Source organism: Homo sapiens, chromosome 14 (genome assembly GCF_000001405.40).
Source record: "Homo sapiens chromosome 14, GRCh38.p14 Primary Assembly".
NCBI lineage: Eukaryota > Metazoa > Chordata > Mammalia > Primates > Hominidae > Homo > Homo sapiens.
Genome location: NC_000014.9, coordinates 71346011 through 71364616, shown reverse-complemented (window position 1 = coordinate 71364616; position 18606 = coordinate 71346011). Strand labels below are relative to the sequence as shown.

General features: G+C 39.1%; 1 protein-coding gene across 34 annotated transcripts in view; it reads right to left on the bottom strand.

The window, feature by feature from the left end:
* SIPA1L1 (signal induced proliferation associated 1 like 1) overlaps nt 1-18606 on the bottom strand; it is a 420734-nt gene that overhangs the window by 376593 nt on the left and 25535 nt on the right. Inside the window, exon 1 of one of the 34 annotated variants that reach the window (XM_047431220.1) lies at nt 12695-18606. This exon is cut by the window's right edge and continues 23076 nt beyond it. The exons of the other annotated variants lie outside the window; for them this stretch is intronic. The gene's annotated coding sequence lies outside the window, so the exon portion shown is untranslated. The remainder of the gene's footprint in view (nt 1-12694) is intronic. 34 annotated transcript variants of the gene reach the window in all.

Genomic DNA, 18606 nt, shown 5'->3' with positions numbered 1-18606 from the left:
ATTAGAAACAACCCAAATATCCTTTAACTGGTAAGTGCACAAACTGTGATATATTCATATACTGGGACAGGACTCAGCAATAAAAATAAATTAGTGACACACACAACACAACTGAATCTCAAATGTCTTATGTTAAATGAAAGTAGCCAGATTCAAAAGGCTATATACTGTATAATTCCATTTATACGACAGTCATGAAACGGCCAGACTAAGGGTGGGAAGAGAAAATAGGTCAGAGGGTGCAGGGGTTGGGGAGGGGAACATTTGGGAAAGATGGAAATGTTTCATATCTGCACTGTATTTACAACCATATGTGTTTACATTAAAAAGGGTGGGTTTCCCTGAATATGAATTAAACCTTGATAAATCTAACTTTCAAAAATAACGTCACTTGCCTTTTTCACTCCCGTTAAGAGTACAGTGTTTGCCAGAAGCCACATGACTGTGATGATGCCATCATTCTGCAACTAAGGAATGTGTGCTTGTATATTCTTAGGTTTTATATTTTCTCCATTTTAATACTTCTAATACAGTAAATAGTCATGAATGTAACAGACATAAACAAAAACTCTCCTGAGTCCCCAATAATTTTTTAACAGCGTAAAAGGTTTCTGAGACCAAGAGAGTTTCAGAACCACTGCTGTAGATAAGGAGGAGGCCCTGAAGTGTTCTAGCAAGGGAAACAGGAAAGAAGAACTGATGGAGGGAAACTAGTAAAGAAGTAATTACAGGATCTGATTAAGGCTGATCCCGGGACTAGAAAGAAAATAGGTCCACACATCATCTGTACCTTGTTATAAATCCCAAGCCTGTTTCTGGGCTGACACTTTGCTGGTGCATTCAAGTTTTGCAAACTAATTTCTGTTAACTGGTAATATAGTTAGGAAATAAAATCTGCTATAGGAGTCATCCTACAACACATTACTAATCAGTGATTTGTGGATTATTTACTCAGTTGCCAATGTCCTTCTTCAAAAGATGACAATCATTTAAAATTGACCTTTACACATTTTGAGCTTGAAAATTAAGCATCCTAAAGAGGCTCAAAAACTAACTTATAAGTGATTCAGTACCTCATGATCAATTAGGCAAATTAGGTAGTTGTTTAAAAAGCCAATGTGTTACTTCTCTAAAATATGTTTTCACTTGTATCCAGAAACACTATGACAATCTCAACTCAGCACAATTTTTTCTATGCAATGTGGTTTTCTGGATGGGAGGGGAGGGTGATTACGTTGTTTCTGTCTTTGTTTGGCATAGTTCCCTTTCCTCCTAGGGAAAACTCATTTCTAAATACAAGCTCTGTAAATTCCAAATTATTTCAAGTACAGATCTTTTTCTACAGTCTTCTCATACCCAGAACTATTATAGTACTTTGGTATGCCACAGAGAGGTAGAGAAATTATTCTTAAAACCATCCATGTCTTTAAGCTTTAAGCAAACAGAAAACAGATTGACTGATGACAGCTTGATCAATCAATCACTGGATGAAGGTGATAAGTATTAGAAGAAAGGATAATCCCTTTCCCAAAAAAGGTAAATACAGTTTTACAAGCCATTTTAAATGAGTGAGACTGTGAGTGTGCGTGTGTGTGCACACGTAACTGCCATTACATATTGCTTCTCTAATTGTTTTAAGTAACCAACCCCACTAACACCTCAGCTAATACCAAACAGATGGAAATCTGTCTGGAGAATTCAAGTTGCCACTTTTCAAAAAATTCACCTATACTTCTATTACAGAAGCCTGAGAAACTCCAGACTCCTGCAAAAGTATCTGTGAATTATTAAGATAAAGTGAAATTACATCGTTACCTGAAAGTATAGTCCTTTGATTCTACTTTTCATAAAAATCTTGGAAATTAGACTACAGTCAACACTACAGGATATTTTAATTGGAAATTTCACCTAAAGATTGAAAAGGGGGAAATAATTCATCTGAAATACATGCAAAGATTGAAAAGGGGGAAATAATTAATTTGAGATACATGTACAATGCAGATAAAAATATCAATTTGATCAAAGATGAAATTTCCGTAAATTTGTTAAAGCCAAATGGTTTCTGCAGGAAACCTGTTTTCTGTGACTCAAATCCAAAATGGAAAACGTGGGTGGTTCTTCCTGTCTCACCATTAGAGTCAGCCAATTGGCTGGTGAAGCTTTCACACAACTTCAGCTCAAACCCCAGCCTTCCATCTGCTTTAACACTGCCATACCTTAGTGGAATGAAAGAGGAATAAAGGCTTTCTCTAGCCTCAAAGGAAGTCTTTCACAGGGAACCTTTGGTTTATTCTATCTACACCATACTTGATCAAACTGCCCATTTTTTAAAACTTCAAATCCAAAAGATGTGATAAATAGTACGAGCTAAATCACAAAATAATTCAAGGGCATTAAAACTATCTCTGATTGTGGAGCTGATTTCTAAAAAAACAGCAAACTCATCTCTCAAGTACGAAACTCCAGTGGCAACACACATGCCGGCTCCTTGAACACAGCAGCATCTCTTCCCCAGCCACATGGCACTCACCATTTGCCATGACGGGCCGCCAACAGAGACCACATGTGAACTTCTAAACATGTGACTCCACCAGAATGGAGTATGAACCCAATATTTCTGTAGGGTATGTCTGCGTGTCCACCTAAAGCTACTAAATTAGCTAGTGTGACGCATTTAACTGAAAATATCACACGCAACAGTATGCCTTCAGTGAGAAAAGACCACTAGTACATGATACTAGCATGGTAAAACAATTGTGCATACACTGCTGCCCAACTGAATCTTAAATCCTTAAAGCACTGGAAAACCTGCTAGTGCAAGACAATAAAAATTCAGGCAGCTGCTTCCAATGGTGATGTAAGGACCCCACATGGCAAACTGCTCAGGGGTAGCTACTGTCCAGTTCCTAAAGATTCCAGGCCCACTTAAAAATCCTAAGGTCTCAGGAGGCTTTTTTCTCAAAAACTGCTAAAAGGCTCATACAGTTCACCCCACGTAGTAGAAAAAGGCCCTTGATAGGCCACCAGTGACTGCACAGCAAGTTCTTACGTAATGACTTATCTGGTAGTCACACAGGAAAACCCGTTGACCAGGATAAAGTGAGGGGCCCAGGTTCTCAGATAGCCATCTCAAGGGAACTGTTGTTACATGGAGCCACTGAAATGTGAAATACACACACACTATTTGTAAATGTGAATTTTAGAAAGTATATGTATGGAAGCACTAAGCATATCATGAACAAATACAGACCATAAGCTTGTAGAGCCAAAAAAGACCCAATACCCCATTACCACTGTAATACTCTTAATTTTACCAATAAAATTAAGTCAAAACCTCCTGACTGCCAGCCCAGTGCTCCTAATAGTACACCTGCTTTCTTATCAACTGTGAAAACTACATTTTGGAGTATACTAAAATTGAGTTACAACTCAGTTGCATGATCAATATCTCATTTAACCATGTGCTGCAAAAGCAAAATTTACATAAAAGATTAAGAAGTAAAAACCTTTATCATATCCCTAGTGAAGGGGGAAGGGTACAGTGAGGTTTGCTGTCTTTCTCCATACCAGTATAATTTTATCCTCAGGAAAAAAAAATATATATAAACTATATATACAAATCATCTCTCTTTTCAAAAACTGCTGCCAAAACCAGTACATCTAGGAAAAAGACACAAAATATGATGTCTTACTACCCTTACGAAGAATGGCATAAATAACAATCCTTTCTTAAGGTTTAAAATATTTTCTAAGTTTTTTTCACTGTGCTATCATTAATTTCCTCTAATGTAATTTTAGAACAGATCAAGTAGATACATTTCCTCATTTCAGTTTCTTTAAAACTTTGATTTGCTGACACTTCTTCTAAGACAATAATCAACAGTGATCTCTCATTCTGTTCATTTTCTCAACTTCCAAAAGGCAATTCCTCAAGTAAGCACATTTTTGCAAGACTAAAATAATGCACATACTTACACACATAAAAAGAGAAAGACATAAATACTTTGTATAGGATGAAATAACTGCGTGACTTTTGAAATTTTTAAGATAAAATGCAGACCTCAAAACAAGTTCGTAATTGCTCCCTGGGTTATCTCCAAAGAGAGGCTTGTACATTCGTCTCCTATTGATACTTCAGTGAAAATCTGTGACAAAAATTCATCCCAACTCTGCCGTTAACTAGCTGTGTGATAGATACTGGGCAGGTCGTGTAAGCTTTGGACTTAGGCTCATATAAAAAGTTGGCATATCTGATTTCTATAGTATTTTCTAGGTTTCTTAATATCTTCCTAAGACATTATCTATCATCTTTATTGTCACTGAATTCTAAAGGTCAAATATATCTTTAGATAATAAAAATAACCATTCATAAACTACCTTACGCCCTAGAACTCAATAGAAGACTACCATCAGCTTATCTGAAACCTTTAGAACATTATAAGCTTTATCTTCATTAAATGTTATCGCTTTGTCTCATGTTTTAGCATTTTGTAAAAAGTTTAGATTAGTAGAAATGTACTCTCACATCTAGATGACCCCGAAGCACTGTTCAACTCTCACAAGATGGGAGATCTTGATGCCTTCACTTCCTTCCTCATCCATCCTCCATCACCACAGTACCCTCATACCCTGAAACTCAACTTTTTGGGCCACAATGTTGACAACAAAAACCTTTTAAACCACTTATGTTAAAAATCAGCTACATGTCCAAGTCTGTATCTGAGAATCTCTGTATGCATTTTTATCATTTAGTACTCTCGATTTTAAGATCTAAAGAACCAGTTCCATTGATAATATCTGCATAATCTCATGACTCTTCATCTGAATCTGAGTTCCCTGTTTATTGCCAAACAAGCAAGGAGGTTCCAGAAAACTGTATACAACACAACTCATGCACTTACTTTCTTTATATACCAACTGATGATTTTGCCATCCTCAATTAAGTCAATTAAAAAAACAACCAGTAGGACTGAGAATCTGTCATTTTACCAGTAGGAATCCCAAAAAGCAGCTGCTTTTGCCAAGTTCATTCATTCAACACATTTATTATCTACTATGTGGCAGGCACTTTTTATTTTTCATCCTGGGGATATATAAACAGACAAAAGTCCCTGCCTTCATATGCTCTACTGAAGAAGATGACACACCATAAATAGAAACCATAATAGACAAATTATATGGAGGAGATGTACATATAAGGTGTATTAGTCTGTTCTCATGCTGCTAATAATGACATACCCGAGACTGGGTAATTTATAAAGAAAAAGAGGTTTAGTGGATTCACAGTTCCACATGGCTGGGGAGACCACACAATCATGGCGGAAGGTGAAGGAAGAGCAAAGTGACATCTTACATGGCGGCAGGCAAGAGAGCGTGTGCAGGGGAACTGCCCTTTATAAAACCATCAGATCTCATGAGACTTATTCACTATCATGAGAACAGCACAGGAAAAACCTGCCCCAATGATTCAGTTACCTCCCACTGGGTCCCTCCCACAATATGTGGGGAATATGAGAACCTCAATTCAAGATGAGATTTGGGTGGGTACACAACCAAACCATACCATAAGGTCAGAGGGGATACATGCTTGATATGGTTTAGATCTGTGTCCCCACCCAAATCTCAAGTTCAATTTTAATTCCCAGTGTTAGAGGTGGGGCCTGGTGCAAGGTGACTGGATTTTAGGGGTAGATCCTTCATGAATGATTTAGCACCATCCCTTTGGTGCTGTTCTCAAGTTCTCACGAGATCTGGTTATCTAAAAGTGTATAGCACCTTCCCACTCTCTCTCTTCCTCCTGCTCCAGCCATGCAAGACGTGCCTGCTTCCCTCTGCCATGACTAAAAGTTTCCTGAGGCCTCCCCAGAAGCTGTCATGCTTCCTGTACAGCCTGTGGAACCGTGAATCAATTAAATCTCTTTCTTTATAAATTACCCAGTCTCAGGTATTTATTTATACTAGTGCAAGAATTGACTAATACAGTGCTATTGCAAAGAAAAAGGACAGGCTGTTAAGAAAAAGGGATTCAGGAATGAATGGAGGGCAGGTGGGCTCAGTCTTAAACAGGACGGGGTCAGGGTAAGACTCACTACAAAGGCAGTGTCTGAGCAAAGACATGAAGGAGATGATGAAGTGAGCCAGACTGAAGTTTCCTAGTAATTCTTAACTTGTACCGACTATACACGTAATGGCAAATGCTTTAGCAAAAGAGTTATGTATGAGCAAATTTATAAACAACCCAGAGGACTAAAATAGAAGAGAGCTGTGTGTAAATCCCCTCCATTTTTGCAGCTTATTTTACCAAGTGAAACTTACAACTTCAATTAGGTATGCTTGGTGTGTTTTTACCCCAAGTGTTATTTTGAACAAAATTCTTACTTCTGTGATTCATTTTCCTCAAAATTCAAAAATAAATGTCCCACTATTCATTTGAAACATAAAAGAGCACCAGTGTTGGCCGGGCACAGTGGCTCATGCCTGTAATCCCAGCACTTTGGGAGGTCCAGGCAGGTAGATCATTTTGAGTTCAGTAGTTCAAGACCAGCCTGGGCAACATGGCAAAACCCGTCTCTACAAAAATACAAAAAATAGAGGCCAGGCACACTGGCTTATGGCCCAGTACTTTGGGAGGCCAAGGTGGACCACTCACTTGAGGTCAGGAGTTCGAGACCAACCTGGCCAATGTAACAAAACCTCGTCTCTACTAATAATACAAAAAAAAATTAGCTGGGCATGGTGGTGTGCACCTGTAATCCCAGCTACTTGGAAGGCTGAGGCACAAGAATTGCTTGAGCCCAGGAGGCAGAGGTTGCAGTGAGCCAAGATGGCACCACTGCACTGCAGCGTGGGTGACAGAGTAAAACTGTGTCTCAACAACAACAACAAAAATTAGCCGGCATTGATGGCTCATGCCTACAGTACCAACTACTTGGCAGGCTGAGGCTAGAGAATCGCTTGAGCCCAGGAAGCAGAGATTGCAGTGAGCGGAGATCATGCCACTGCGCTGCAGCCTGGGTGACAGAGTGAGACCCTGTTTCAAAAAAACAAAAGAGCACCAGTGTTATCAACCAACAACTCCACTAAGACATCCTGACTATTACGTCAGGGCTCAAATCCCAGTATGGGGAATCCAGGAGCTTTTCCCAGTGTGGAGAAACCTGTGCTTTCCTAGAGAGTTTAGTGGGAAATGAATAGGCTATGAAATCAGGCGGCCTTACCACCAACCAGTTATACAGTCTTGAGCAAATCACTTCAGCCCCTGGGCTTTGGTTTCCTCAACTATAAAAATCAGGGTGTTGGACCATGTGATTTCGAAGTTCCTTATAGGGCTAACTCTCTTTCACACACACACAAAAAAAAACTTCAGATAAATAGCCATCTATTAAAAATTATAACATTAGCCAAGCACGGTGACACACAGTCCCAGCTACTCGGGAGGCTGAAGGGGAGGATCACCTAAGCTTAAGCATAGGAGTTTGAGACTGCTGTGAGCTACGATCACGCCACTGCACTTCCCCCTAGGAGACCAGAGTAAGACCCTGTCTCTAACACATAAAATTTTTTTAAAATTATAATAATGTCATGATTTGTAATTCTGCTAACCCACCATCAGATTCATATTAATTTCATTCTTCAATATTCTTCAAATAACTAATGAATTTATACTAACTGATTCATAAGTCTCAACTCTCTCTGATCAGAAAAACAAATTCACAAGAATGGGTCTTGACTTGCAGTGGTATTCACCAAGGATTAAAAAAAAAAAACCCTGGAATTTCTCTGTCTTTGGCTTTCCTATCAACATACCCCTGCTAGCTTAAATAGAATTTTAAAGTAACACAACCATAAAATATTCTTTATATCCCTCAGTGAAATAGTATTTGTTGTTGCTGTATTTTGTAGAGACATGGTCTCACTCTGTTGCCCAGGCTGGAGTACAGTGGCACCATCATAGTTCAGTGCAGCCTTGAACTGGGCTCAAGCGATCCTCCTGCCTCAGCCTCCCTGGTAGCTAGGACAACAGGTGTGCTTTTTTTTTTTTTTTTTTTTGTAGAGACAAGGTCTTGCTATGTTGCCCAGGCTGGTCTTGAGCTCCTGGCCTTAAGTAACCCTCCTGCCACGGCCTCCCAAAGTGCTGGGATCACAGGCATGAGCCACGTGCCTGGCCCAAAAAGTACGTTTTTAAATAGTAGGTTTCCTTAAAAGTTTCACTTAAAAGCTTATATTATTGATTACTATTATACTGCTTATAATTATAATTAACATTATATTATTTTAAATTGATACTGTAATAAGTATCTGTTATTCATGGAGCCCCAAATCATCTTTGTTATGTTTTCACTACTTCCTTACTGTGTAAACCTCACTTCCCAATATAGAATTTAAAAAAAGAAAGCAAATAAGCAAATTGGGGGTATACAAGCAGACATGTTAATTAGGTTCCACCAACCAGACATACCACATGGGGCTCCTTCAGAACGGTGTTATGTAGGGAAAGTGGAAGAAGGGGGGTGAGTCTTGCTTGGGTTCCTGGTTTGCAGCACCCTGACTTTATCAGTAGCAGCAGCTCCTCAGCAGGCTTGTTCCACAGTGCAGAACTGGCAACCATTCCCAGAAACTCAGAGTACAGTCTCTTTTGTCAGCCTGCCCAATCTGCTAAACTAGCTATCACCCTTAATAAATCACTTGCTGCTTACACTACTAGAATAACTCTTAGTATCTGTAACAAAAAACCCCAACCAACACTCATAGCAAATATTCATTTCATTATTTCCACATACAAGAGCTGAGATTGAAAAGAAAACAACACACAAAACATTCCACCATACAAGCCAAGAATTCTTTGTTTCAAGCCAGGGCTTATATTCACAATCAACACTTCGAACCTTCCCTTATATGTACTTTCTCATAAATTTCATCACCTCTGCCATGCAAGGAGAAGAAAATGGTTTTTGCCTAACTAATTTTCTATCAATAAAGAGTCTGATGACAGTAACTTGGCAAGATATTTGAGAAGAGGATACAATAAACATCATTTTCTATACCAGCTCAAGTTTATGGAGAATCCTGCAGTGTTAGGTAGCACTTTCAGAACATTCCCCAACTGCAGGCAAGGTGATCTAATGCCGTATTTGAATGCCAAAATGATCAGTACTTCGTGCCAAGGCATAACTTAATTCACAAAGCAGCAGTGAACTTTTCACTGATTTCCTCCATCCCTCAGGGTAAGATAATCACGTTAAAACCACAGACACATCAGGCAACTAAAATAGGACACTATTATCTAATACTAAAAGCAGACTGGAAGCACTGAGAAGTGATTATGCATGTTAAAATTCTCTTCTTGGTATAAAGATTAAGTCCTATACAATTACTTGGCAAAGACGGAAAAAGTAATCAGCGGTTAATAATACTGGTCCTTAAAGTGGCAACAGAATCTTACAAAGGACATTTGATATCTTTGACTAATACTGTCAAACTACACAAGGTACTTTTCAGGTAATACTCAAAGGCAAAACTTTATAAAGATCGCTTACACGTTTCTGAAGGCCCTTAATGACACTGATAATGATTCAGTGCATCTCAATGCTCTGCCAAAGCACAAGTATGCATTGTCTCGGCACAGTGATTCAAGACAAGTCTCACTAATGTTAGTGACCCCCGGGCCCTGGGTCTCCAGGCACTCAGCAAGCTCTCCCTTTGTCATCGCAGTACCTCACCTTGCCTCCTGCTCCCTGAATGGCTTTTATCAAACAATTTATAGTGCACTTAGCTTTAGCACTGATGGTGGGGAGAAAGGGAATATGCAAAAGTTAAAACATAAACTATATTCTTCCCTAAGAACAAAGCAAATCAACTTGCTTAGGAAAACTTAGAGCTTGGCTACTTCAAAAACATTTTAAAATTTCATAGAGAATGTCTGCAAAGTAGTTACTACGATGACTCTCAAGCTTTACTACAACTACACATGTACCATATGTGTCCTCTGATTGCACCTGGCACACACAGTCTTTTTTTTTTTTTTAAGAAATGAAGTATCGGGCCAGGCGCGGTGGCTCACGCCCATAATCGCAGCACTTTGGGAGGCCAAGGCGGGCAGATTGCTTGAGGTTAGGAATTCAAGACAAGCCTGGCCAACATGGTGAAACCCCCCCTCTACAAAAATATGAAAATTAGCCAGGTGTGGTGACGGGCGCCTGTAATCCCAGCAACTCAGGAGGCTGAAGAGGGAAAATCACTTGAACCTGGGAGGCAGAGATTCCAGTGAGCCAAGATGGCCACTGCACTCCAGCGTGGGCAACAGAGCGTGACTCCATCTCAAAAAAAAAAAAAAAAGAAACAAATGAAGTATCTCTAGGCCAGAAATGACACACGGCCTACTTTAATTTTTCGTTTATCATGTTTAGACTCTAATCGCAATCTTATTGCAAGATTAAGGATATGATGCTCATTTGTTAATAGTATCAACATCAAAGGATACATGCATAATACCACAAATCAGTGATTCTCAAAGCTGGTTTGCAAAACAATACCTGCATCTGTAGGTCCTCAGAGAAACGGGGAAAAAAAAATTGTTTGAGTATTTCATAAGGCTAAATTTATCCAATTTCAATGGTTGATCTTTATTTTGAAATTGTGTCTTTTCCTATTCTTTTGGTATTCGAATGGCCTTTCTTTATAAAATGCTGAAAAAAATTAAGATTACATCTGTAAAATACAAGCAGATGGCTGGCACTACTCCACATCTTCTGCACCTTCTGCCCGTCTCCAACTTCCCAATTCCCCTCTTTCCAGTTGCTCAGGCAAAAAATAAAAATAAATACTAAAATAATACCTAGTGCCATTCTTCTTTCTTCCACATCCCAGTTCCAGGCCATGAGTATATCCTTCAGCTTCACATTGAAAACCTACCAACAGTCAACTACCCCATTTATTGCCACCACCAGGTCTAGTCACCATAATCACTCCCTCAGACCACCCCCACTGCCTCTTAACTGGCTCCCTACTTCAGCCCCACTCCCAAAAGGCTATTCTCAACACAGCAGCCTAGCGACTCTGTTAAAACCTAGGTAAGACCAGGTCAATGCTGCGCTTAAAACCCTTCAGGAGTCCCATCTCAGTGAGAGGAAATTCTTCAGCAAGCCCCACCTGCTGTCTCAATGCCTCTCTCAGCTCATCTCCGCTCCTCCATTACTAGCCATGTCCTTCTAGGCACCTGGCCTTGGGTTCTTCACACCTGCTGCCTCTTTGGTCTAAAATGTCTCCTCCAGGTCAGACACCTGTATGATTAGTGACCTTACTTCTTCAAGTGGTTACGTGAAATTCATCCTTATCTTTGTGACCTTGAGATAAACTAAAATTTCTTAAAACAGGACACCATTAAGAGAGCTGAAAAGGCAAGCCAGCAAGTGGAAGAACAGATGTGCAATACACATATACAATGGAGAACTCATCTAGAATATATTTTTAAAATTTCTATAAATCAATAATGAATGTGGTATTTAGTCATTTTATTTATTGACATATAATTTGCATATGGTGAAATTCACTCTTTTTAGTGTACAGTTTTTCTGTGGGTTTCCACAAATGTATATGGTCATTTAACCACAACACAATGAAAATACAGAACATTTCCATCACACCAAAAAGTGGTTCAAAATGGCCAATAAATATGAAAAGGTGCTTAAATGCATTAGTCTTCCACAATGGAACATCTCTACACAACTACCGGAACAGCTAAAGTTAAATGGCAGGAGATGCCAAATCTTGACATGTCTGTGGAGCTCTCACATGCCATTAATAGGTATACAAATCAATATAATCACTTTAGAAAACTGTTTATCAGTATCTACCAAAGTGAATGTACACATATCCTATAACCTGGCAATTCCACTTCTAATTATATCCCCTGTAGATGGCATCACTAAAAAGAAATATACAAGCATGTTTGCTGCAGGGCTACTCATTAGCTAGAGACAGAAGACAGTAAACTGTGGTATCATGATACAATTTAATACTCTACAGCAACAAAAATGAATAAACTACAAATACTTGTAAGAGCATAGATGGATCTCACCAAATCAATGTTGGTAAAAGAAGCCAGAAACAAAAGAATATATTATACATTATGACATTAATATAAAGCTCACAAACCAGCAACAGTAACCTATGGTGTGAGTCCTCAGGAAGCAAGGCTTCAACTAGGAGGGGGGGTAACCAGACCTCCTAAGGGGCAGTTAAAATTCTGTTTCTTAATTTGAGTGCTGATTACACAAGTGTATTCACTTCGCAGAAATTCAACCCTCCCAGCTACTCAGGAGGCTGAGGTGGGAGGATCACCTGAGCCCAGGGAGGCTGCAGTGAGCCATGATCACAACACTGCACTCCAACCTGGGTAACAGAGTGAGACTGTCTCAAAAAGAAAAAGACAGAAAATTCATCCCATGGTACATTTGTGCTTTCTGCACTTTTCTGTATTTGTTACACTACAATATAAAGTATGTTTTTAAAAAAATCACCTTTTCAATGAGGCCTTCTCTGGCCACTCTAATATTTCCACCAGTCTCACTGTTTATCATACTCCTTTTCTACTTATTTTTCCTCTGGCACACTTGTTAATACCTAGCACACTATCTCACATACTAGATATATTTTACAAACTTATGTTGTTTACTGTCTGGCTCCATCCACTAACCTGTGAGTTCCATGAACACAGATATTTTGTCCAGTTGGCTGAGTACAGAGTCCCCAGTAGCTAGAATAACACCTGGAAGATAGTAGGCACTCAATATAGATTTAATTAATCTATTAATTATACAGCATTGCCCAATTTAATTGTTTAATTATGTTTGTGGATTCAAGCCATAAATTCTTACAGTTGTCTTGTTATATTTAAACAATAAGTTGGTTGTTGTTCTGTCTGAATAACGCTTCTCAACATGGTTTTGAGACTTCTCATCTTCCAAGTTCCAGATCAGGTTCTGATCAGTTTATGGTAATAATAAACCGTATTAGGAAACCATACAGGAAACTCTTACACTCTGAATTCTATTTACACCTAATTTTATAAATGAAAGCTAAGGCTGCATTAACCTTTCTCTCAGTCATATCCACCCTACTGACTCATACTGAGTTTAGAAGCAAATAAAAGTAACAAAGGGATTTAATTCCATTTTTTTCCTTCACATAAACATAAATCATGAAATATTCCCAACCTATCATGGTACCTTTAGTGTTGAGTCCTAAATGTAGAAATTTTCAACTATCTCCATGTATTCCAAGTTTTGGCTAGCCATTTCAACAGCTTTCTTTTAAACCTGTGGTTCTCAACTTTTTTCCATCACTGCACCCCTAAAGAGACTTTTTAGGCATTTTTTCTTAATCACCCTCTCCCATGAAATTTTAGTATCACAGAAAAACTATTTATCTGTTTATGTAATTATACTGTACTTGCAACCTAAAGAGTAGCATTTCTGCCCCCACAACCCCTACAACCAATTTCACCTCTTTGAAATTTTATAAAGGCATATTTTAAACTTGAAAAGTAATTTGTCAACTACCTTACCTTTCTAACTTCACATATAAATTTGTTAACAATAAAACTATTTCACAGATCAAAGTTGTAACCCACAGAAATCAAATACAGAGCGCAACAGCACAGGACAAAATGCTTCTCTTCCAGCTTGTGCAGATCCATCAAATCTACTATTCAACAAGCTACAAATCCACCTAATACCCATATCACATTTTCCCATCTTGTTCATAAGGACAGCCTTTTGTTAAACTAAATATTCCGTTGAAATCAAAAGACAGCATTCCCCTAACTAATAACCTATTTAAACTTTTCAGAATCTATCTTTAAAGGAAAACAAGATTAGCACAGAATGACTTATTTTAGTCTCTCCTAAGTCCCTCTGGGGGACTTAGGACCACTGCAATCCCTAACTTCACTCTTGTAAGAGTTTCCTATGTCCCCGGACCCAGATCAGTACATTTTCCACATTATGAGCAAACTTTTTCAATGCAAATCTGATCATTCTGCTCCCTGGATATTTAAAATCTTTCCAGGGCTCCCCTAGGCGTATAAAAGCCCCAAGTCCTTAGCATAATAGGCAAAACCTCACTAGGTTTTGCCAATCGGTGGCAATCAGTGGCCAATCGGGTAAGGCCAATCAGTGGCAATACCTCCCACTTTTTTTTGTTTTGTCTTGAGAAAGAGTCTTGCTCTGTCGCCCAGGCTGGAATGCAGTGGTGCGATCTCGGCTCACTACAACCTCCACCTCCTGGGTTCAAGCAATTCTCCTGCCTCAGCCACCCGAGTAGCTGGGATTACAGGCACATACCACCATGACCAGCTAATTGTGTGTGTGTGTGTGTGTGTGTGTGTGTGTTTAGTAGAGACGGGGTTTCACCACATTAACCAGGCGCGGTGGCTCACGCCTATAATCCCAGCACTTTAGGAGGCCAAGGCAGGCAGATCACGAGGTCTGTGATCACGAATAGGAGTTCGAGACCTCCCACTTCTAAAAAGTTTTTTCATAATCACTTTACTCCATCTAGCAGAAATGCTCTTATAACCAAGCCTCAGCACCTGCCTGCCCTCCCCACCCTACTCTATTTTCCCTTAGTCTCTTCAGATTTTAGAAGCAGTATCACCTCTTCAAAAGATGTCCTATTCTCCACATCCTCCCCAGTGTCACAAGAGCACTCCTTAACCAGGTTCCTAGGCACTCTGCCTATATTTGGGGATTACTTACTAATGCGTCTGCTTCCCCCACTCTTGGGCCATCAAAAAATATGTGCAAGGAAATGCACTAAGGATACTAGCTACAAGCTGACCTCCTAAATTCAGAACTTGACATTCACCTTTGTTCCTCCGGCAGCAGGAGTACCAGGAACCCACAGGAATTAGAAACCCAGTGAATGTTTTTTGTAATATTGAAACCATCCTGGCTCCTGGTAACCACTACCTTTTTCTCTCATGCTATCAAATCACCTGTTTAAACCTATACTAAAATTCTGTCAGAAAGTCACATGAAACTTTTTCTAGTTTCCTTTCTCTAGGAAAAAAAAATCTATTTCCTTTCTTTAGGGAAAACAAATGAAAACACTGACGTAAACCTTCAGATTTCAGGAGTGTCAGGGCTCAGAATACATTACCCCCAAAGGATTCTGAACTGAAGGAAACTGGAGGGGGCCCAGAAACAAGGTCACTTCCCCTGCCTTCTATGTGAAGCATGGTCATAAAGGAATTCTCCGACCCATCTTACCTGAAAATAGATCATAAGACCCTTATTCCAGAAGGGTTCTGCCCCACACCCAGCAGAAAAGTAATGCTCAACACAGAGAGGCTGAGAAGAATCTGGACAGGCCTTGCTGGGTTCCCCTCTCAGTTTATTACCATTAGATCATTCCCTTTTTGTGCAATCACATTACTACATGGCCATGATTCTCCATCAAATGTAAGCATAGAAAGTTTTCCTTGGGTCTTTGAGTCTTCATTTCTGAAAGCTCCCACGTCATATATAACTTTGTTAAACAAATCTGTGATATTTTCTTTCTTGCTAACCTGTCTTTTGCTAACAGTAGTACTGACCACAACCCTTGCGGTGGATGAGGAAAAGGTATCATCTTTTTGCCCCTGTAAGAGCTTCTCTCACCTTATCAGTTCTCGAAGTTTCCCAACTGCGGTTCCTCAAATTAATGGTAGAGTTTTCAGTATCCTGGGGAAGAATCCATTTCAGCCTGGAGATTCTTATTTATTTTAAGTGAGTAAGAACTTGTTTGCTTTACTCTCATCTTTCATATTCTACCCTTCTCTGTCTGAAAAATACTTTCCTACCATAAAAGATACTAAGAAAAAGGAGTGAATTACTCTGAAATCCCTTTTGTTAAAATTAAACAGTGGGTTTAGCCTCTTTTTAGTTATCACTTTGTTTTAAAGCTTAAAAACTAATTTGCATACACTTTAATAAAGCGGAACACAGATACACTTTATGACACAGCAAGTCCACTCTTAGACATACATCTAATGGGAAGGCATGCCCCATGTGCACCTCAACATGCATGCAAGAAAGGGCCTAATGACCAGAAGTTGAAAACTGAAACTCAAACATCCATCAAAAGAAGACAGTATAAAGAGTTGGATATTGATACAACGGAAAACTATTGACTAAAGAAAATGAACTACAGGAAATACATGGATAAATTTTACATGTTAGGCAAGATAAACCAGGTACAAAAGAAAACATGCTGTAAAATCCCATTTCTACAAATTTCAAAAAATATATAAAAACTAATCAATGGTGACAGAAATCAAAAGAGCTGTTATCTTTGGGGTGCAGGAGGGCTAATGATTGCAAAGGTGCAGAAGATGGCTTTTGTGGGGGCTGGTAATAGTCTCTGTGTTGACCCTGCATGGTGGTTACATGTGTGTATGCATTTTGTGATCATTTATCAAGCTGTACCTTTACAGTTTGCATACTTGATGTGGATTATACTTCCAAAAATTTTTTTAAATCACTGTGGTAATTTCAAATTTTTTTCCTGCAAGCCACAGGTCACCCTAGGTATACTCTGTCTAAAATATTTGTAGCAGTTCGGCCTATTCTTTTGTTTTCATGCTTACTACATGCCCTTTTCTCTTTTGTATTCCACTTAAAGTCTGGCCTCCTGAATAGAAAGACAACCCACAGAGTGAAACATTTTGCAAATCTAATAAAAGATCTGTATCTAAAATACATAAGGAATATTTACAACTCAACAAAAAAAGACAAAAACCTTAACTTTAAAATGGGCAAAAAATGTAAACAGACATTTCTCCAAAGATCTACAAATGGCCAGCAAACACATAAAAAGATGCTCACCATCATTAGTCATTAAGGAAATAAAAGTCATTCACACCTATTATGACAGCAAAAATAAAAAGAAAAGCCATACAGTAACAAGTGTTGGCAAAGATGTGGAGAAACTGGGACCTTAATACACTGCTCGTGGAAATGGAAAATGGTACAGCCACTTTGGAAAACAGTCCGGCAGTTCCTCAAAAGCCCGGATTGTTTAGAGTTACTAAGCATAGAGTTACTATATAAGTCAACAATTCAACTCCTAGGTATATATCCAAGAAAAAATGGAAACATATGTGCACGTTAAAACTTACACCTGCAAAGCAACATTATTCTTAATAGCCAAAAAGTAGAAAAACCCAAGTGTCCATCAACTGATGAACAGAAAAAAACAAAATGTTATTAGAATAGAATATTACTTGACAAGACAAAGAAATAAAGTATGATATATGCTACAACATGTACAAACCCTGAAAACATTATTAGAAGCCAGTCACAAAATACTACATTTTGTTTGGGCATGGTGGCTCATGTCTGTAACCCCAGTACTTTGGGAGACCGAGGCAGGTGGATCACTTGAGGTCAGGAGTTCAAGACCAGCCTGGCCAACGCGGTGATACCCCATCTCTACTAAAAATACGAAAAAAAAAAAAATTACCCAGACGTAGTGGCGTGTGCCTGTAATCCCAACTACTCGGGGGGCTGAGACAGGAGAATCGCCTGAACCTGGAAGGCAGAGGCTGCAGTGAGCCGAGATCACACCACTGCACTCCAGCCTGGGCAACAGAGCAAGACTGTCTCAAAAAAAAAAAAAAGACTACATATTGCTTAAATTTACATGAAACATCCAGAACAGACAAATCAATAGAGACCGAAAGTAGGTTAGTGGTTGCTTAGGGCTAGGGAGATAGAAAGATAGGCAGGAGGGTGATAACTAACGTGCATGAAATTTATTTTTGAGGTAATGAAAATGTTCTAAAATTGTTGTGATGGTTACACACAGCTGTGAATACATTAAAAGCCACTAAATTGTACACTTTAAATGGGCTAACTGTATAATGTGTGAATTATATCTCAATAATCTTTTTTAAAATCTGGCTTCTTTTCCAATGACCCTGAACACTTTGTTGACTTCTTTAGAAGCCATCCCCGCTTTTGCTTACCATCATGACTTGCAATCATACAATCACAATTTTTGTTTCTTGGCGCTCCCCACACATCTCGATGAAACCATACTCTCTTCTACAGTTCTGCTGGCCTTGGAGGTAATACCATCTTTGCTCTGAGCTTCATGAGACACCTTTCTAAAAATCTCATGTGCAAGAGGGTCTTGCACAACTTCCATCAGGATGAAACCCCAGAATAAAATAGCCAGTTTCACCCAAAGTTCTCAGCATGAATTAACTAGTCAAATTTCCACCTCTACCTTCTAAAAATGAAATTATCAGTAAGTCTAAGACTTATCAGATGTCTCCAGTTACAGGGTTGAGATTTCCACACATATAGTTTAAACACACCATTTATAAACTACCTTGTCTCTGTGTCAGGTTAAAAATTATACAAATTTGACTGGGTGCGGTGGCTCACACCTATAATCCCAGCACTTTGGGAAGCCGAGGCAGGCAGATCATGAGGTCAAGAGATCAAGTCCATCCTGGCCAACATGGTGAAACCCCATCTCTACTAAGAATACAAAAATTAGCTGGGCGTGGTGGCAAGCGCATGTAGTCCCAGCTACTCGGGAGGCTGAGACAGGAGAATT